The 22,839-nt window shown below is 37.5% G+C and overlaps 1 protein-coding gene across 55 annotated transcripts in view, besides 2 other annotated features; it reads right to left on the minus strand.

The window, feature by feature from the left end:
• MCTP1 (multiple C2 and transmembrane domain containing 1) overlaps positions 1-22,839 on the minus strand; it is a 581,405-nt gene that overhangs the window by 324,015 nt on the left and 234,551 nt on the right. Inside the window, exon 2 of one of the 55 annotated variants that reach the window (XM_011543649.4) lies at positions 10,365-10,483. The exons of the other annotated variants lie outside the window; for them this stretch is intronic. The gene's annotated coding sequence lies outside the window, so the exon portion shown is untranslated. The remainder of the gene's footprint in view (positions 1-10,364; positions 10,484-22,839) is intronic. 55 annotated transcript variants of the gene reach the window in all.
• Positions 2,271-2,460: a silencer, noted in NCBI's record as "fragment chr5:94365679-94365868 (GRCh37/hg19 assembly coordinates)". NCBI's record gives its function as "represses an EF-1alpha promoter that drives an FKBP-Casp9 reporter gene in an ReSE screen in HepG2 liver carcinoma cells {active_cell/tissue: HepG2}" and the evidence as "EXISTENCE:reporter gene assay evidence [ECO:0000049][PMID:32094911]".
• Positions 15,648-15,848: a silencer, noted in NCBI's record as "peak5358 fragment used in MPRA reporter construct". NCBI's record gives its function as "represses an SCP1 promoter by STARR-seq MPRAs in K562 erythroleukemia cells {active_cell/tissue: K562}" and the evidence as "EXISTENCE:reporter gene assay evidence [ECO:0000049][PMID:32103011]".

Below are 22,839 nucleotides of genomic sequence, written 5' to 3' on the forward strand. Positions count from 1 at the left end.
GGAGCTGAGGGTCCACTGCTCCGTACTCTTGAATGTCTGTGTGGTTCCTGCTGACCTTCTTACCTCTTCTGGCCTTCTTTGAGACAGCTTCAATGAGTCCTTGGCCCTTACAACAGAATATAATACGAAAAGAACGAGACCGAGCAAAATAAGCCAAGGATCAAGAGAGCAACCAGTTAACACAGGAAATCCATGAGTGTCAGAATACAGTAATATAGGGAAAGTGAGCTGCAGAGAGAGGCTGCAGACAGAAATCACTTCATGCATCCACCTTCTTCCTCCACAGTTCTGTGTGATGCTCATGCACAGCACCCCTGAGGGACTAGCTCACCACTCAAAGGCCAAATAAGGTCAATGCTCTGCAGCTACTAAGTAAGGAAAAACTTCATGTTTTTTAAAATGAATATTTCAACAAGAATTGGGAGAAAATCTATGGTTAGGATGGCCATGTAACTGATCATTCAAAATAGGATACTTTGGAGAGTGAAAGGGAGTGCTATTAATAATGATACGGTAGAAACAGGTAGAAACAAAACTGTCCCAGGTAAACTAGAATGCATGGTTATAATGGTAAGTTAGCCTTCAGATTACCAGAAAGCAGAAAAGGCCAATCCTCTGGTCATAACAAAGCTTTACTATACTTTGTTTTTGAACTGAACTACAACCCTAGGTTTAATTCTGGGGTTTTGGTTTCCTGGTGGTCCAAACTAAACAAAATGGGCCAATAAATACTCAGACCCAATAAATGGCAACATTTATTGCTGTTTAAAAAAGTATGAAATTCAGTGCTCCCAGAATGTCTTTTCTGGGACTCCCACAACACTGATTACTCACCCGTGGATTGTCTGCTAAATTGACTGCTCTGTGTGGCATTGCTTCATTATCACTAATAACCTTTCCGCCTACACATACAGTATATAAAATAACCTGAGCCAAAGCAAATAAAATTCTCTTTTCTTAAGCCTTATGTAGATGGACCACTCTCTTTTTAAATTAGACCATGTAAACAGACTTTGTGTTGCAAGATACAAATTTTGTTGAAGAAAGCACAGGTGAGATAGCAATTATTTAACTTCAGCCAAAAATACTATCCTGTCTGATATTTGTTTTCTAATCTTTAAAATAGGTAATAGATATCTCATAAACACTGTTCTGATTATGAGATAAAATATGTAGGCCGGGCACGGTGGCTCACGCCTGTAATCCCAGCACTTTGGGAGACCAAGGCGGGCGATCGTGAGGTCAGGAGTTCGAGACCAGCCTGACCAACATGGTGAAACCCAGTCTCTACTAAAAATACAAAAATTAGCCAGGTGTGGTGGTGCGTGCCTGTAATCCCAGGTATACGGGAGACTGAGGCAGGAGAATTTTGATCCCGGAGGCCGAGGTTGTAGGGAGCAGAGATCAGGCCACTGCACTACAGCCTGGGTGACAGAGCGAGACTCCATCTCAAAAAAAAAAAAAAATGTAAAAGTGTTTGTAACTGTAAGAAATTGTTCAAATATAAGTGGTTATTTAGATGCAGGTGATGAGGAGATCTATTATAAGATAGAGGAAATATTACAGGAGTCAGAGCACAAAGACATGGACACAAAGCCTAGTTATGGTATTAAATTGCTGTGAGGCATAGGGAAAGATTTTGAGCTCTAGAAGCCTCATTTTCTATTTCTTTAAAAAAAGTCCTTGTGAATTTTCTTTCCTTTTCTCAAGATAGCTGACCAGAGACATTGGATGCTAGTTCTCCTCAGAAAGATTAAAGTGACTGTGAATAGACAAGTTCTAAATGGGAAAGTGAGGGAAGAGAGCCAGGACCTCTTGGAGAATCCATGGGAAGAAGCTGGGGCACAAACAAGGAAAGCAGCAAGAATCCGGCATAGATTGACTCCCAAAGAACTCAGACCCCATGGAAAGACTTGGTGAGAGCACTTCTCTCTCCTCTCACCTCTCTGACAATCTCCGGACAGCCAGACTGTTGGGGAACCCCTCTGACCTTGTGACTCAGGGCAATGCTATCTGTGGTGATTTGGGAACTTCCTGGAGACAGAGAACTTGGTGGCCGGTTTGCACGAGTATGGTTGCACTCCCCTCAGGTTTGAAATTAGGTATCAGGTGCCATACTGATTGTACACTTGTGGTGCCACTGCCTTGCATGTGGTTTCTCTGCCCTTGAGTTACTCCACCACCAAATCCCCCACAAATATACACCACAACCTGCTCTGACATTGGCAAGCACAGCTTACACAAAGAGCAGGGTCCAACTCCCACTCCCTACACAGAACGGCAGCGTTCTAGCAAGGGAGGACAGATAAGTTGCAGAGTTGCCTGATCTGGCCGGGGAAGAGGTTCTCGCCTGAGCCCATTTTGGTGGTAGCCCTCAGAGGGGTATATCCATGGCCTGTACCTGCACTGCAGTGGGGAACCAAAGGACAAAGTCTTTGTGAACCGGAAGTCATGAACCCTGCAACAGGGAAGTGATAGAGAAGCAGATCACATACCTGTTGGCTCAAGATGAGGAGCTGATGCATGCTCCACCACTTTCCCCCAAGACTTCAGTGTACCACAACACAATCTCTTCCTGCCAATACCCCTTCAGGGTGGGTGTTTCCACTCAACATCAGCCTACCTAAGATCAAGTCAGCTCCTATTCTTAACTGCTATATACTGGACTGAAGCCTGAGCTGCACCACCCAACACAAAACCTGCTACCAGAGGGCTTAGTGCTAGTCCATGAGATAAGCTTCCTGAAACTCCACACTCTCAGCCCCACAGGAGGTCATATGTTGGCTCATGCATCCAATACACCAGTACAACAAGCAGCATCTGAGAAAGCCACAGCATAGAAGCTATATACAACCCAAGAGACACATCCAGAGCCTTAGCCCTCTGCAAGTATCCAGAAAATAAGTCAACTGATTATATGCAACATGCACCACAGTCATACCCTCAAGGGAAAAATGATATTTTTAAAAAAGTCTCATAGAAATGATGGCGAATTCAAAAATAAGAAGCAGATGAGAAGGAATCAGCACAAAAAACTCCAGCAGTACAAAAAGCCACAATGTCTTGATACTTTTAAAGGACTACTCTCACTCTCTAGCAATGGATCCTAACCAAATTAAATAGTTTGAAAAAACAGATAAAGAACTCAAAATATAGGTTGCAAGGAAACTCAGTGATATCCAATAGAAAGCAGATATCCAACACAAAGAAGCCAGAAAAACAATTCAGGATATGAAAGACAAGATAGCTACATTAAAAAAAAAATAGAACTCCAGAATAGAAAAGTTCACTAAAAACATGCTTTAACAATAGACTAACCAAGCAAAAGAATGAATTTCAGAGTTTGAAGATCAGTCTTTCAAATTATCTGAGTCAGACAAAAATTTAAAAAAAATTAAAAAATGAACAAAGCTTTCAAGAAATATGAGATTATGTAAAGCAAACAAATCTATGATTTAATGGCAGTCTGAGAGAAAAAAAAAGTAGGAACTCAGAAAACTTATTTCAGGGACTAGTTCAAGAAAATTTTCCTAATCTTGCTAGTGAGGTCAACATCCAGATACAGGAAACTCAGAGAACACCTGCAAAACACTATACAAGATAACCACCCCCAAGACATAGAGTCGTCTGATTTTCCAAGGTCAACATGAAAGAAAAAAAAATCTTAAAGGAAGATAGACAAAACAGCCAAATTACCTATAAAGGAAATCCCATCAAACTAACAGTGGACTTCTCAGCAGAAACCTTACAAGCCAGAAGAGATTGGAGGCATGCTTTTAGCTTTCTTTAAGAGAAAAATGCCAGCCAAGAATTTCACGTCCTCCTAAAAAAATTAAGTTTCATAAACAAAGGAGAAATAAAGTCTTTTCCAGATGAGCAAACACTAAGGGAATTCATCACCACAAGACTGGTCCTACAAGAAATGGTCAAGGAGTTCTAACCATGGAAAGAAAGAATGTTATATGCTATCATAAAAACACAGTTAAGTACAAGGCTCGGCTAACAATACTATGACGGGAACAAAATCTCATATATTAACATTAACCTTGAACATAAACAGCCTAAATGCTCCACTAAAAAGACATAGAGTGGCAAACGGGACAACAGCAACAAAGATCCAATTTTTTGTTGCCTTCAAGAGCACATCTCATGTGGAATGACATCCGCAGGCTCAAAGTAAAGGGAAAATGAAGGATCTAGCACACAAATGGAAAACAATAAAGAACTGTGGTTGCTATTCTTGTATCAGATAAAACAGAGTTTAAATCAACAACAGTAAAAAGGACAAATAAGGGCATTATGTAATGATAAAAGATTCCTCCAACAAGAAGACTTACCTATCCTGAATATATATGCACTCAATGTTGGAGCACCCAGACTTACAAAACAAATACTGCTAGACCTAAGAAAAGAGATAACCAGCCATACAATAATAGTAGGGGGCTTCAACACTCTACTGACAGCACTAGATAGATCATTGAGGCAGACAACTAACAAAGAAACTCTGGACTTAAATTGGACTTTTGACCAAATGGACCTACCAGACATCTACAGAATAATCCACCCAACAACCACAGGATATACATTCTCATCTGTGCATGGAACATTTTCTAAAATTGACCACATGCTTCGTCATAAAGCAAGTCCCAATAAATTCAAAATAACTGAAATCATATAAAGCATCTTCTGGGACCACAGTGGAATTAAATTAGAAATAAATATCAAGAGGAACTCTCAAAACCATACAAGTACACGGAAACTAAAAAGTCTTGTTTCCGAAGAACTTTGGGTAAACAACAAAGTTAAGATGGAAATAAAAAAAATTTTTGACACAAATAAAAATAGAGAGAAAACATACCCGAACCTCTGGAATACAGCAAAAGCAGTGGTAAGAGGAAAGTTTGTAGTAATAAATGCCTACATCAGAAAGATACAAAGGTCCCCAATTAACAACCTAACATGACACCCAAAACAAGCAAAACAAGAACAAACCAAACCTAAAGTTAGCAGAAGAAAAGAAATAACAAAGGTTAGAGCAGAACTAAATGAAATTTAGAGCAAAAAAATTATGCAAAGGATCAACAAAATGAACAGTTGTTTCTTCAAAAGGATAAACAGAATTGATAGACCAGCAGCTAGATTAACCAAGAAAAAAAGAGAGAAGGTTCAAATAAGCACAATATCAAATGACCAGGGTGACATTACAACTGAAACTACAAAAGATCAAAAGGAATACAAAAGTTCCTCAGAGACTATTATGAACATCTCCATGCACACAAATTAGAAAATGCAGAGGAAACAGATAATTTCCTGGAAACACGCAACCTTCCAAGACTGAACCAGGAAGATATTGAAATCCCTTACAAAACAATGAGTAATGAAATATAATCAGTAATAAAAAATCTACCAACCAAATAAAAGCCCTCAATTCTACCAGATGCTCAAAGAAGAGCTGATACCAGTTTTACTAAAACTATTCCATAAAATTGAGTAGGAGGTATTTCTATCTAATTCATTCTATAAAACCAGTGTCATCCTGATACCAAAATCTGACAGGGACACAACAACAACAATAAAAACTACAGGTCAATAGCCCTAATGAACATAGACACAAAAACTGTCAACAAAATACTAGCAAGCCAAATCCAGCAGCACCACAAAAGGTAATTCATCACAATCCATTTGGGTTTTATTTCTGGGATGCAAAGATGATTTCCACATACACGAATCAATAAGTGTGATGCACCACATAAACAGAATAAGAACAAAAACCATATGATTATCTCAGTAGAAGCAGAAAAAGCACGTCATAAAATCCAACATTTTTTCATGATAAAAACTCTCAACAAACCAGGCATTGAGGAAACATATCTCAAAATAACAAAACAAATTTATGACAAACCCATAGCTAACATCACACTGAATGGGCACAGTTAGAAGCATTTCCCCTACAAACTGGAACAAGACAGATGTCCACTCTTACCACTTCTATTCAACATAGGAGTCCTAGCCAGAGCAATCAGGCAACAGAAAGAAACAAAAAGTATCCAAGTAGGAAAAAAAGGAAGCCAAATTATCTCTATTCACTGACAACGTGATCCAATAGCTAGAAAGCCCTAAAGATTCTGGCAAAAGGTTCCTAGACCTGATAAATGAATTCAGTGAAGTTTCAGGATAGAAGATCAATGTACACAAGTCAGTAGCATTTCTATACACCAATAATGTTCAAGCTGGGAACAAAAGTAAGAACTCAATCCCATTTACAATAGCCACACACAAAAAATCAAAATACCTAGGAATACATTTAACCAAAGAGGTAAAAGATCTCTACAAGGAGAATTACAAAACACTGTTGAAAGAAGTCACAGATGACATAAATGAATGGAAAAACATTCCATGCTCATGACTTGGAAGAATCAATATCATTAAAATGACCATACTGCCCAAAGCAATCTATAGATTCATCACAATTCCTATCAAATTACCAATGTCATTTTTCATGGAATTAGAAAAAAAAATTCTAAAATGTATATGGAACCAAAAAAGAGCCTGAATATCCAAAGCAATCCTAAGCAAAAAGAACAAAGCTGGAAGTATCACATTACATGACTTCCAACTATACTACAAGGCTATAATAACCAAAGCAGCACGGCACTGCTACAAAAATAAACACATAGATCAATGGAACAGAATAGAGAACCCAGAAATAAAGCCACACACCCACAACCAACTGATCTTCAAAAAATTCAACAAAAATAAGCAATGGGGAAAGAACACTCTATTTGATAAATAGTGCTGGGAAAACTGGCTAGCCACATACAGAAGAATGAAACTGGACCCTTATCTCTCATCATATATAAAAATTTATTCAAGATGGATTAAAGACTTAAATGGAAAACCTCAAACTAGAAAAATCCTAGAAGAAACCCTAGGAAAAACTGTTCTGGATATTGACTTATGCAAATAATTTAAGGTGAAGACTTCAAAAGCAAATGCAACAAAAACAAAAATAGACAAATGGGACTTAAGCTAAAGAGCTTCTGTACGGCAAAAGAAACAGTCAACAGAGTAGACAGACAACCTATGGAATGGGAGAAAATATTTGCAATTTATGCATCCAACAAAAGACTAATATCCAGAATCTATAAGGAACTTTAAAAAATCAACAAGAAAAATATAAATAACTCCATTAAAAAGTGGGCAAAAGACATGAACAGATACTTCTCAAAGGAAGATATACAAGTGACCAATAACCATTTGAAAAATGCTCAACATCACTAATCATCAAAGAAATGCAAATTAAAATCACAATAAGATGCCATCTCACACCAGTCAGAATGACTATTATTAAAAGGTCAAAAAATAACAGATGTTGGCAAAGACGTGGAGAAAAGGGAACACTCATACACTGTTGGTGGGAATATAAATTAGTACAATCTCTACGGAAAATAGCATGGAAATTTCTCAAAGAACTAAAAATAAAGCTTCCATTTGACCTAACAATCTTACTACTGGCCATCTACCCGAAGGAAAAATAAATTATATATTTAAAAAAACCTGCATTTATATGTTTATCACAGCACTGTTTACAATAGCAAAGGCATGGAATCAACCTAAGTGTCCATCAGCAGTGAATTGGATAAGGAAAATGTGTACATATATTACATGGAATACTGTGCAGCCATAAAAAGAATGAAACCATGTTCTTTGCAGCAACACGGATGCAGCTAGAGGCAATTATCTTAAGTGAACTAATGAAGAAACAGAAAACCACATACCACATGTTCTCACTTATAAGTGGGAGCAATATAATAGCTACACATGGTCATATAGGTGGGAACAACAGACAACAGGAACTCCAAAAATATGTAGGAAGAAAGAGGAGTGAGGGCTGAAAAACTACTTATTGGGTACTATGTTCACTATTTGGGTGATAGGTTCACTAGAAGCCCAAACACCAGTATTATACAATACAATCATGTAACAAACCTGCATATGTACCTCTTGAATGTGTAATTAAAAAATATATATATACTTGTGAAAATTTAAAGAAATAATGTAATTGAAAGTGTTTATAAAAGAGTTGAGTGATTTACAAAGTAGGTTCTTCCTGCTTTTTTCAAATCATATATTATGCATATAGTACTGCTAATGTTCATTAATGGTTAATCAGACATTAGAAAGAAGATAACAGATTATGCTTGGGTTAACTTGTAGGCTTTTAGTACTCTTGTATTACTTAATGACTGTTATCTTTCCTATTTCACCAAAATAGTATTTATTGGACCTGAGAACAAGACAGATTTTATTTGTATTAACTCATCTGACCTTTTGTCTTTTTGTGAGTTCCCAAACATACTGTTTCTCCCCAAAGAAATTCAAATGTCATGAAAAAGTGCATAGCTACCAGTGAGTAAAACAACTCTCAGAGGGATAGTCTTGTCAGAAATAGGCATACTGCACTAACTTGTTAGTTGCTGTTACCTTCCTTGCCATAAATGCTTCTGTTAACAAATGTTTCAATAGATCAAGACCAGTCGTATTTCCAAAATTTGGGCAACATATATGGGAAAACATTTTATTTAATACTTGAATTTTTGAGATTATAACAATTTCAAAGAGGGAAGCTCGTGTAGCAGATGCTTTGCTTGATGCTAAACATTTGGGATTTTGCTGAAGAATCCTTCTACTGCTTCTATGGATTTACGTCTACAAAACAGGCAACCACAGATCCTCAACAGCTCTTATGAAACCGAAACAAAGAAGCCTCTGTATTAGACTTAAGCACATAGCTCTACTTCTCTTGGAATAACTCTATAGTGTTCCCCTTTTTCCCCGCGGATTACAAATTGCTTTGTATCTGAGTTTCCTCGTCAGAACCCTAATCTTTATTTCAAAGGTAACTTCAGGAAAACCCAAAGAACCAAAGGAATATTTTAGTGTTTCTATCACATATCAACTTTTTAAATGTCATATCAATCCTACCCATAAAATTAATTAGGTATCTTTAAAAAGAATGTGAAAAATATCTAGATAGAATGAATGTACTACTTCTTTTATTCCAACACTTGATTTTCTTTGGAGAAAACCATGGGGATTATAGTTTTTCTGAATAGGAAATTAGCAAATCTTAGAAATCAATTTCCAACCTCGCACACTCCTTCCCATATTCAAGGTTACCCTACCCTTATCCAGAATTTCATTCTTTCACTCACTCACTCACTCATTTTTTAATCCCATATTGGATACCCAGCACAAATTAATATTACAGAAAACACAGAAAGATGTTTGGATACATTCTTTGCCTTCAAAGACTATCATAGAGACAGTTTTGCATGTGACATTTAAATGCCAACATGGAAAAACATGACAACAGGAGTTTCATGGCAGTAAATCAGAAGTCCTCCACCTCCTTCAACCTGCCTCTTCTTTTTGTTCTGAATTTGGGTTTGAAGCATCTTTTGGAATGATCATACACCTAGACTAGAAAACCCAACAATTACACCTGGACCCCCAGGGCGTAGCCATCAAGTCCTGTCAATTATATTCTGGAAATATTTCTTTAACTGTTCACTGAGTCATTTAAAATGGTTCTTATGGAGTATTTCGAATGATGTGGGCAAATGCTTAGGAAAAAGCAACGAGGTGAAAAGTAGGATGCAAAACTGCATACATAATATTAACCAGGTTAAATCTACCTATGCATTGCCAAAAAGACAGGAAGGAAATATAACAACATGTTAACGTGAGCTATTATATAACAAGGAAATTAAGGGCAATTTTATTTTCTTCCTACTTTTTAGAAGTTTTCCAATTTTCTGTAGATGTGTAGTATATATTGGTCTAATAATGTAGAGACTTAAAAATAAAAAATAACATGGCCAGGTGCAGTGGCTAACGTCTGTAATCCCAGCACTTTGAGAGGCCAAGGCAGGTGGATCACTTGATGTCAGGAGTTTGAGATCGGCCTGGCAAACACAGTGAAACCCCATCTCTACTAACAATACAGAAAATTAGCTGGGCACAGTGGCAGGCACCTATAATCCCAGCTACTCGGGAGGCTGAGGCTGAGGGAGAATCGCGTGAACCCATGAGGCGGAGGTTGCAGTGAGCAGAGTTCACGCCATTGCACTTTTGGGCAACAAGAGTGAAACTCTGTCTCAAAAAAACAAAAACAAAAACAAAACAACAACAACCACCACCACCTACTTATTCTCTGCTGTTTCTATCCTTTGATGACTGTGTTAAAGATACTATGGAATAGAGTTTCAGAAACTTGCTTTGATTCTACAAATACCATCATATGGGGCATAGCATGTCAATGTGCCATTCTCATTTACATATGAGTTTAAAACAAAACTCACGTGTATTTTATCCTTTCAAACATTCGAACAATCTCATGGTCACAGGTGCACAGCTGTGGATGGAGTAGGATCTCATACACTCAGTTGTGCGAATAGCAAGTTATTCCTTCCAGGTATAACTAAAACATGAACATGGAATTAATCATGGAGCCTGGCACAAAGTATCCTTCAGTGAATATTGTGATTTATTTTCATTGTTTACCATTTTTGTAAATTCTGGTTGGAGAAGTTATTAAAAAGTTTTCAAGAAACAAAATAAATAGCATAGTATTGGATTACAACCCAAAGAATAAAATATATATCCATGATAATATACCAATATAAATAAATAATTTGAATGCATAAATAAGTAAACAGGGGATAACAGACAAATCTATAGTGCAGAAGAATTCAGAATAATTGGTGTAGATGCTCCTCCTCAAGGAGAGAGAGCACCACTCCCCATCCTCAAGTGTGGGCTGTGTGTAATGATTTCCTTCAACAGAGTTCAGTGGATGGAGAGGGAAAGAGTAACCAGAGAAACCTGACAAACTACATCATGGAAGGCATATTAGTGATAAATGAGCCTAACTCTCTTCACCATCCCTTTTCCCTCCCCCATTTCACAGATGAAAAAACTGAAGGTGATGTATTTAAGGGACACATTTATGCAGTGTTTACGTTTAACCAAAATAATTCTTTAGTACTGCTGATAAAACCTTTTTAATTCCAGGTAGCTCTGAGAAAGATGTGGTCACCAGTGACCACACATTAGGCTATAAGTCATGAGGCTTGAGATTTTCTTCCAACACCTTCGTAAAACTAACTTTACTGCCTCAAGCAAATAACTTACCCTCTTCGACCCTCAATTCCTCATCTGTAGTAAAGGAGGCTGATCTATAATACTTCCACATTTCCTTCTTGCTTTCAAAAGAAAAGAAAGCAGGTTCTGGTAGTTTTTTTTTTTCTCTTCAAATCCATCACTCAGTAGCTTGGGTTCTCACCCTTAAAAATGGGGATAAAAATAGCACATACCTAACAGAATTTTTGTGAAGATTAAACAGAATAATACATGTGAAACACTTAGTATCCTATGGTAAAAATAAAATATTTAGACCTTGCCTTTGTACTTTCAAAATGATAGTCTAATTATAGATAAGAACCTAAATTTGATTGTTCAAAAAACAGATTAGTATCTAATTGAGACTTTAAGACACGTTCATAAAGGAAGTGCTTTAAAGGAGAAAAGTTCTGGACAGTTGTTGGAAGTGGTTTTCAGGGATAAATATTGACATTTCTTCATTTTTGCAGCTCTTTAGAACTCTTCATCCATTAACTGAAATGCTCTCACCTGAGTGCAAGTGTGTGCGAAAAGTGTGTCATTAATTATTCATACTTACAGTGGGGGAAGGGGGTTGTGGGCTGAGGCATAAATAATAATGATTAAAGAAGGCCAACAAATCAAAAATACATTTGTAACTCCTTTTGAAATATGCTTTTATGCTTGTTTGTGAGATTTAAAATTCTAAAATATCTGTACCACAGGATGAGAATTTTATTTACTCAGTAAACAAGTCTGTGATAGAGAAAGGTGTCTCACAAGGGTTTTCCATACATAAATAAAATCTATTGAATTAATAAATGTGAAAGCAGGATCTGCTATAGATAAAATGTAAGTCCCAGAAATTATCAAAAGTTGACGTAGGAGCTAAGCAAATACAATGCAAAAAAATGCTTAGCTTATTCAGTTAACTGATATTGTTTAAGTATTCCAAAGACATTGCTAGAACAAAGTGAACAGGAGTTTATGAGTCTTCTCAGTACCGTTTGCAAAAAAAAAAAAAAAAAAAAAAAAGAAAGATCTAAACTGCCAAAACTTGAGGACTATCACACGAGTAGATAACACTAGGTGTCACTGCTAATTTTTTAAAACTTCCTCATAACAGCATTAAACTGCTACTATAAGATTGTCAAATGTTTCTTAGTAACCAGTATTCACTCTGGGAGCTTCATCTAATTAATTACAGAAAAATATACAATTCATCTTGGCATGTGAGGTCCCCCCTGCCTGCTGAAATTGTTCTGCTTCTAACAAATTTTAAAGAAGGCTGGGCATGATGGCTCATGCCTGTAATCCTGGCACTTTGGAAGGCCGTGGCAGGCAGATCACCTGAGGTCAGGAGTTTGAGACAAGCCTGGCCAACATGGTGAAACCCTGTCTCTACTAAATATACAAAAAAATTAGCCAGGCATGGTGGTTCACACTTGTAATTCCAGCTACTTGGGAGACTGAGACACCAGAATCGCTTGAACCTGAGAGGCGGAAGGTTGCAGCAAGCTGAGATGGTGCTACTGCACTCCAGCCTTGGCGACATAGTATGTATGACTCTGTCTCAAAAAAAAAAAAAAAGAAAGAAATTTTAAAGAAGATTTTTTGGGCTAAGTGCTCCCTGAGCCCATCCAAGGGCACAGATTAACTTCCGGATAACTGCCTGGGAAGTAAACAGCCCTCTTGACAGTGCCTGGATAAAATGAACAAGGTGGTAACACACCTTCCTATCCATGTGTTTCTACCTTTCCATGTCCAAACAGACCCCAGTTTCCTCTTCATAACTGATGTGGTTGTGAGGAAGCTGACTTGCCCCCTAGCTCGAGGGGTGGAAAACAGCACAAAGATCAAGCCAATCTAACCCCCTGGCCACAGTGACTGATTCAGGGTTGGGTATGTGACCTAAGCTCTTTCAATCAGGGTAAATCTTGGGACTTGGTTGAGAATGCTGGAACACAAGGGCTCAATCTTTCCTCCTGGGTGAGAATGAGAAAACATGTAGGTAGGTAGCTGTGGGAGTTGGCAGCCATCTTGGGTTTAAGAATGGGGTAATTTAGAAGGCTAATAATAGTGGAGGCTGGGTGGAGAGACAGAAGTACACTAGATTCTTGTGACTTTTGGTTGAGCTATTGAGTTAGCCTCTGGATTTTCTGGTTATAGGATCCAATAGATTCCCTTTATAATTTAAGTCAGTTCGAGTTTTTTTTTGTTACTTGCAACCCAAAGCAACCCAATTATGAAATAGCTAACACTGATGGAACACAAATTTTGTCTGAATTGTTTCACACAACAAACCTAAGAAATAATTATGCTTATCATACTACTTTTACAGATGTGGAAACTGAAGATTAGAGAGGTTGTATAACTTCCTTCAGCTGGGAAACAGTGAAATGAGATTCAAACTATTCTGTCTAATGCCAAAAGCCCATGCTCTGAAAAAAAAAAAAAAAAAAAAGAAAAAACAAAAAGAAAGTAAATTAGGTACCTGAAACTATATGGTAATTTTAACTTGTCAGCCCTAATTATATAATTTCACTTAGCTATAAGTTCATATCAAAAAGAAAGGGTTGATTGTAGTTAAGGAAAAAGTACTTTAAACGTTTAATATCAAAAGTTTTTAAACACACATCGATCTAGAACCTTTCTCATGAGAAAGATACATTTCCCTGTGTTGTATTACTTACTTCAAGTAATTTGGAGGGCATTTTTTGGCTTCTAATCAAATGTCTTTGGTGTAATCAACTAAAACTAATTAGCTGGATAGTATTTTAGGATACAGGCCTTGTTCAACATATATAAAACTCTGGGGTTTATAATTAGTAAATAGAATATAGTCATACATACTGCCTTTATATCAGTTAATGTAATATGGAAATAATATATAGCTTTCTCCATCCCAGAAGTTGTAGGAAAAATATTCCCCAAGGAAGTAGCATATTTTAATTGTAAAAATGTTTTGTTATTCCAAAGATTAACATACACTTCTTCATTTTACAGGAGAATATTATTCATTTCTTTTATTGAAGCTTGTTTCCAACTCCGCATCCTTCAACTGAATCTGCCCCGTTTCTCAGTGTGAGTTGAAAAGACAGAACTCTGCCTGTGAGCTCAGCATCTCACTTTCTACAGAAATTCAAGTTCAAAGTGCAAAAGTCTGAAGACTTTGGATCTTGTTTTCTCAAACTTACTGCTTCATCACTGAAATGTTAGACCAGCTGCTTTTGCTGGTTCAGTGTAGTCGTTTGAAAAGTCCCCAGTTATGTATAATTGGCATATTCACACACATTTTAATAGCCAGTGGCCTGTTTTTCCAATGCCGGTAAGGAAGTATTTATTTATACAACCAAAGCAAATAGTATTAGGCATATTTACCGGGCAAATGAATGTATTAGGTTACAGTGAAGTGAGTGTCAAGTACACACTTTAAAGAGGGTGCAAACACTTGGCAATTTAAACTGCTCTATATGAAACCATCAGGACTGAGCAATAAACATGCTACCAGAAAACAGCGGAAGATGCAGAAAGTTATTGTCTTTTTGTCATGGTTTATGGATAGTGATAAGCAAGCAAAACAACGGCGTTAACAAACCAATAGCCTGATACATCATCTTCTTAAAAACCAGTGCTTACACATATAGTTGGGAATGTCATGTGCAGAATTCCCAGTAATGTTTATATCAGGGTGTCATTTCTTTGAAATACATGCATTGGCTGCATACTCTAAACAATATACAAAAGTAAAGTGAAAAGTAAGATTTTCAGTCTTGCATTCAAATGCCAGTGCTTGTCTCCAAAGGTAACCACCATTAACAGGCACATACCCTTTTACAGAATGTACAGCTATAGGAATGAACATACGGTATACACTGTCAATCACCTTGCCTTTCTCATTTAGTAACACCTTGGTGATCTTCTGATGTCAATACATTCAGCTCTACCTCAAACTGTCTAAAAGACACTTAGTATTCTATTGAATGTATATATCTACCATAATTTATTTAATCTGATTTTCATTACATTTAGATTTCTAGTCCCCCCACCCCTTTTATACTATTATAAACAATGTGGCAAGGAATTTTGTCTTATGTAGATCTTGGTGTACATTTCTGTATCTAATGAGTAAATTCTAATCACTAAATTTGCTAGGCCAAAGGATTCTATGTTTTCAATTTTGAGAGATCTTGTCAAATCACCAATCTTCCAAAAATATCCCACCAGCTTACATTCCTACGGACAGTGAGTGAGTTTCCCATACAGCTGCCAAGAACATATTATCAGATATTTATAATAAGTCAGTCTTCCACAGAGGGTCACATTTAACAATGCATAGTTCAAAATCTAAACAAGAAATTTTATTATTTGCATTTCTAAAACATTTTAGAATTTAGTCCAATTTATAATCTGGTATTAACACTTCTCAAAATTGCCTTTCTCTCCCTCCAAAACTCCTTTTGCACTGATCCTCTCATATGTTAACCCTTACTAAGCAGTACTTCCCACTAAGACCAGGGCTGTCCTCTAGCTCAGCCAGCAAGGTTTCCTCTTTCTTGAAGCCCATGTGACTTCCTCCCTAACCCCACCCTGACTCCCAATCCCCTGATTATATCATTCTGCTTAGCCTTTTTTCCTTCTCTTTTCTGCTGCAGTTGTAGAGAAGAGGGAGAAATGGAGCATGAAAATATTGCAAATCCAGGGTGAGGAGTCATGAAAACTCACACCTTTAACATTGTTGATTTGCTTTCCATATAAATTTTAAAACATTTGCCATTCTGATGGAATAAAACAGATGCCTTAATTACTAGTGAGACTGTCTTTCCTGTCTATTTGCCATTAATCTGTATTTCCCGTGAACTGCCTGGGCATATTCTCAACTCATTTTTATTTTATGTTAAGCAATTTTTAAGTGGTTAGTACGTGCCCTTTGTAAATTAATGGGATTAGTAAAGGCTGCATTCTAAAGGGCTTGGCCTACGGGGATGGAGCAGGAACCAGAGAGTATAGCTTTGGAGTGCTTCTGACAGGCATTCTCTCCATTTCCAGCTCTGCCTGCTAAGCACTGTATGCTCACACACCAGCTTTTCATGGAATGTCTTTTTGCAGGAGCAAATTAGCTAGATTTTTTTCTGTGCAATAAAATTTAGTGTTCTCAAAAAAAGAAGAATGTGGTGTAGGAGTATGGACTTCCTATCCTTCTCTGCACATGGGTGAGATGGTTCTGGGCCCTACAGGGAAAACAACCCATCCAAGTACTTTGTTGTCCTTGTTGAGGGTGTATGTCATGGAATGAAGTTCTAGGAGGACCTCCTCAGAAGTTAAGTCCACAGAAAGGGACTCTAGAGAGAGGAGAATGGAAGAAGCAATGGAACGAATTTCTTTTCACCTATAAAATCCAGCTGGCATTCTGCCATGTGCTGCCACAGGAAAAAAGCAGGACAAGTGTCCTGGCTTTTTCTCTCTTTCTGGCAGGCAGCAGAGGAAGAGCAGTTCTGCTCAACAGAACAGAGGGCACTGACTTTTTTCTCTAAATGTTGCCCATTTCCCACGATGTGATCTTCAGTCCTTTTGCTCATTTATCTTCACACTTAGCCCCTGTAGATCAATTGAGTAGATCAATTTCCAGAGCTTTAGGTAGCACCTGTTCTCTAGGTCTGGGATGCTTCTCTCTGCTTACTTGACCTTTCTACTTGGATGTCTCAGAGGCAACTTAAATTCAACATGTCCAGATCTAATCTCTTCTTTTGCCCCCACATCTGTTTCCACTTTGACCTCCCTCTGTCCTTTAACCCAGGCAAAGCATTCCCCAGCCATTCAGTTGCTCAGCACCATCTTCCTCTTCCTTTCCCCCTCAACCTTCTCATGAGACCCATCAGAAGTGTACCCTTCAACTACACTTGCAAAACGTGTCTTCACTCTGTCCTCTTTTTCCCATACCCATCCCCAGACCCCCTAGTCCGAGCCCCCGTCATCCCTAACGTGAATCAGGGCAGCAGACTTCTAAGTGATGATCCTCCTTTTGCTCTTATTCCTCTTAAATTCAGTCTCCCACAAGCAGCTGAAGTGATCGTCAAGCATCAAAATGACTACGTCAATCTCCTGCCTAAAACTTTTTAGTGAACTTCCATACACTGAAAACTCCCTACTGTAGCTCACAAAGCCCTACACAATCTGTATCACCAACTTCTCCAATTTCACCTCCAGCTACCTTCCCCCTCACTACACTAGCCACATCAGCCTTGTGTGAGTTTCTTGAATGTGCTAAACTCTTGTCCACTAGGAACTTTATACTTTTATCTGGAAGCTTCTTACCCAGGCTATTGGCAGGACTAGCTCCTTCTCATCCTGGAGCTCTCAGCTCATGTTACCTCCTCCAAGAAGCCTTCCCTCATGCCCATCTAAAGAGTTCTTCATTAGTTTATTCTTTACCACAGCAACCTGCTGTTTCCTTATCACAGTTTGGAAATACCATATTTATAAGTTGACTTGGTTTTAATGAATTTTATGTCTGTGTGGTACAACCTGGTAACTTCTGCTTTTAGACTAGTGCTTGGCACAAAGATAGTCAATAAACATTTGCTGACTGACTGACTTGCTGAATAAATGAATGAAGAACAGTTCCTAGAGTCGATGAAAGCTAGAGGCCTACGGCTTAGAGAGACGAAAACATAGTTTAAGAAGGGAACAAAAGCCTAGGCAATTGGTGAAGTGTCTCAGAATTTAGTGAACTTGAATCATGTCAGTCAATATAATCAGTGAAAGGGGTCTGGCGTCAGTGGTTATGTGTGAGCCAAAGGGAGTCAAAAGCTATGGTGACCTTATCATTGGATACGGAATTTGTACTTAGTATGCAAACATATACCAAACATGTGATATATGGTTACATCATAATTTCTGACATTTAAAGTTCTCAAAATAACCTCAAGATAAGAGTGCTCCTTCTGTATTTCAGAAATAGTTTACTACAGTAGATAAGAATATCACTCTGTAGCCAGACTGCTTGAGTTTGAATCCTGGCTCTGATATTTTCTTAGAAAGTGGGAAAGTGGCTGAACCTCTTCATACCTCAGCTTTCCCTTCTGTGAAATGGAGATAATAATGGGTCATGCTTCATTGGGCTCTGAGAATTTAATGAGTTCATAATTGAAAGTGCTTATAACAGTGTCAAGGACTTACTATAACACTATAGAAATGTTAGCTAAGAGTGCTATATTTCCAGAAATGCCAGGAAACTTTGCATTGTGAGCCGATGAACTCTGAGAACATGCTTCCCAGCAATCCAGTACTCCATGGATCCAACCACATGAGAGAACTCATGAAAATTTGTACAGATAGAGATGCCATAATTTCATTGCTATTATTACCTTAAAAAGAATTCATTTGAGAGGCTAATTAGCCACACATACAAGCCTTTAGAAAATACACAGAAACCTTGAACAAAGCTATGGTCAACTAAATGAATGTGAAATCTGTATCAGCTCTAACAGCTAATTTCACAATTTGACTGCCTTGCAATACCTCTAGAGATAGAGCTCTTAGAAATAAATGTTTCTATTAACTTTTATTTGGATGTTACTTCATTATGCTAATAGTCTCCCTATTGATCAACTCTATTCTTCATTTTTGTCAAGACTCAAAGAGAACTGGTAAAACATTCAAGGACTAAAAATTAAATGAATACGAGCACCAGCATAAGTACTACTTCTACCTCACCATTTTCACCTTTCAACATCAAGTTCTCAGTGTTTTACAGAATAATTAAGAGTTCGCCAGACAGAGTCACTAGGAGAAGACTTCCTAACCATTATTAGCCTAATAACCTCTCATCCTGATCCTTCCTCTCCCTGCAGTTAGTTACACGCTACTCCATACCATATCGACACCCACCTCTATACTTGTCTGACTGTATTTTAACTCTTGACCACACGTATCTGTTTACCCTATTAGACTGTGAATTCCTAGAGGCCAGGGCCATGACAGACTCATCTTTGCTGATACCCTGATGAGGCTCTATCAAATTGATTTGAAGTTCATGAAAGACTACGTTCATGTTAAATATTTGGCATCTAATGTAGTATTTCAAACAGCATTCCTATTGGAAGGTAAGCTCTTTGAAAGCAATGATTTTTAACTGTTTGGTTCACTCCTCCATGGATCTAGAACAATGTCTGACATGGTGAGCACTCTACAAATATTGAGTGAATAGAGGATATCTTATAACCTAAAGTGCTATTTACAGTTCTTGTATCATAACAGGCCTGAGGATGAATCAGAGGTTGCAACAAGCACATGAAAGTAGATGATGTCCTTGAAGACCGTTTGCTTTCCCATGTACTCTAGTCTCTACTTTGTCTACTTTGTCTACATAGAGCCTCTACCACTATGGCCTTAGTGACATCTGTTCATCCTAGTGTCTTACGTCATCCTGGTTAAGTGGACCACGGAGCACTGAGCAGGCACCATGGCACAGACTCATGCTGCTCCCTGGCTGAATGTTTCTCATGGCCAATTTATTCTTTGAAAGTCAAGTCCTGGGAAGAGATTTTTGCTCCCTAAGCCCTTAATTGGTAATACATGGTGTGTCATGACTGCCTGACCACTACTGAATTATGTCAGTGCACTAATAAAAATAATGAACTTTAGTAATATTGTTCTTTTAATAAAAACTAGTGGGTCTGTTTGACTCAATAATTTAAAACTAGTTTTAAATAATAAAGAAGATGAAAGGCCATTATTATCATGTCCTCCTAGCATATGAACATTCACAGGTAAATCCTATGAAGTTAAAAAATGGTGGCATTTTAGTAGTCTAATGCCTAGCTAAGGTATTTATTTCATTATTTCTAAGGAAAATGAATTCTGAGTACCAAACAGCCCACCTATTCATCTCTTCTTCCCCTTTCTCCCACCCTCTACCTCTATTTTCCATCCATCTACACACCCACCCACTCACCATTAGAGTTTCTATAGCGATCCTTATACTGGGCTAGGGAATAGATATTCAAACATGGATTAAGAGGTGGCTCCTACCCACTAGCTAACTCATAAATTTGGTACATACATTGTTTCATGGAATGTAATAAGGTGTTAAGTAGAAAAGTTATTAAATCAGATAATACATCCAAAGGAATCATTTGATGATTATTGCATTTAAGATATGTTAAGTACAAGGAGCTAGATATACTTGTGTTTGAATAACACAAACTGACTAACGTAACTGCTGCATAATTGCTTTTACTCTCTAACATGTTAGGCAAAGGAATATAATTTGTTGCTTTTTAAAAATTAGATTATTTAGGAGTCAGAATGTAATTTACTGATGTCTTTTTAATCTTTTTTAGCCATTAGTTGAAACTGCTACCATAAAATAAAAATGGCAAGGAAAATGCATAACATATGGCTTATATAAAATTGTTACAAGAGAAGTGTATTTTTGACTGACTTAATATTTTACCAGAACTTGCACCCCATGGAAGGAGAGAAACAGAGGATTATAATGTCAATTTGTCACTGGGATTAATTTCATAAAGAATTTATGCCCACTGTTGTCCTGCTGAGAATACAAAATAATCATGAAATGTTGTTACAGAACCTAGTTAAAATGTTACTTATCTCCCCTGAGGAAAGATGAGAAGCTACTAAAATGGATAAATCTTGTCAGAAGGTAACAGTTCACCCTTGTCCAAAACACATACTAATTTCCCACTTATTAAGCAACTAAAGGACACCAAAGAAATACTCAGGAATAAGAAGCCCAAGTACCAAACTTGCTGGTCTGTAGACTTGAAGCACATGGGTGTTCCATGGCTGTTTGCTCAATGCCTGGAAGACTCGATTCTGAGTTTCCTTGGCTGAGAAGAATATTTATTAAAACAAGTTAGAATAACTAATAGAGTTCTAGAATTTGATTCATCATCAGTCAGGGGCAGGGGATTTGGAGAGAGGAAGGAAGTGACAAAAGATCAATGCCACCATCTTCCTCCTTGTAGAAAAGAAAGGGGAAGTCAAATTTTATAGCAAAGAGCTCTTGATGCTTCAGTGCTTCAATTTACTTCCAAAGAACTCCATTCTAGCCATTGGAAAAGAGTCAAAAAGTTGTACTAATGGAAAGCTTTTGTGTATATTGAGAGATATTGGATACTAAAAGGCACTGGCAGTAAAGCTTCCCACTTTCTGGCATTATTTTGATCTCATGCTTCTACTTTATTTAATGGCGTCATCTTTAATTAAAGAAGAATTATGCTTCTGAATTCCCCAGAGTCTTACTTTCCTCACCAAACTGAAGTGTGAGGAGCCCACAGTGCTGACTCTAAACATCATCTTCTTTGTCTGCAAAACAAAAAATGCCAGCAAGGCACTTCTGGGTTTCGCACTTCCCGTTAAATTTTATAACATTTGCCTCCCAAGGAACAACACTCTCATTCAAGGAAAACAACCTCCTAGTCTGGTGCCAAAAGTCTTTGGAGAAGGCCTGAATTACCGCCCACCGTTAAGAGCAAAGTTTGTTCAAGCAGATGCCTCACATGAACAAATCAAAATTCAGAATATCATAAAGACTAAAACATTATGCTAAAATAGTTCAAATAAGTGAAGTACCACCACATGGGAAAATGAAAGAACAAAATCGCATCCTGAGGCACTGAAACTAAAACGTCTATAAACTAAAAAAGTCTAAAATGCAAAATAATCATAATGAAAGGACCTGACACCCAGGAAAGTGATCATCTGTTGCATACTTAAATAGTTTACCCTGGTAAAAAGAAATTATTCTCTCACTTAGCCCTCTATATAGTTTGACAATTTGTTAATAATTATCTAATGATCACATCCTTTACCATGATGCGCAGACATAGTATTTTCAAATTCATCAAACCAGCACTGTAGTGCTAGGACCAGGTAGAACAAAAGAACTGGAAAGAATCTACTTCCCTTATCTCACCTGAAAATGGGCAAGTTAGCTTAGCCATGGCTGCCAGTCTAAAATAGCTCCGTATCACCTGTCTTCTCTCTTAAGTCACATAGATCAAAACCCAATTAAATATGTTCTAAAAATACTCAAGATCAAAATTAACATTTGACTAACACCTTCACTGTTATCTCTTTAGGCCCTCAGGGAGATTGGTGGGCAGGTAGGACCCCAGCTGATGTGTTAGGTGACCTCTACCCCCGTTAGGCAACCACCTAGATAATGTGGCAGTCCTCACACCACCAAAGAAACATCTGGGAAACATGTCCCATAGCTTAGGGTTAACTAGGGTTAAATTCTTCTTTTACAGCTGAAGACATAAGTGACATGATATCAAGGTAGGTGCTACAGATTCAGAAAATTAAAAAAAAAAATTAAACCACAGAATATCCAGTGAAATTTGGATTTTTGAATTTCAGATAAATAAAATACAATTCCATAAATAAAACGTTTTTGTGTAAGCATTTCCTGATAATACTTGGAAAATATCTTTACTAAAAAGAATATTTGTTGTTTATTTGAAATTATAACTTAGCTGGGATTCCTGTATTTTTATCTGACAATCTGAAAAAAATCTTCCTTTCATCTTTATCTGCCTGGATGGGGCTGTGGGGATGAGAGTAGAAATGAAGCCATCGGACATCACCAGTCACATTCAGATGTTTCACACTTGCTTGTTGGGGGCACTGCTAAATTCACTTCTGGTA

Source organism: Homo sapiens, chromosome 5 (assembly GCF_000001405.40).
Source record: "Homo sapiens chromosome 5, GRCh38.p14 Primary Assembly".
Classification (NCBI taxonomy): Eukaryota; Metazoa; Chordata; class Mammalia; order Primates; family Hominidae; genus Homo; species Homo sapiens.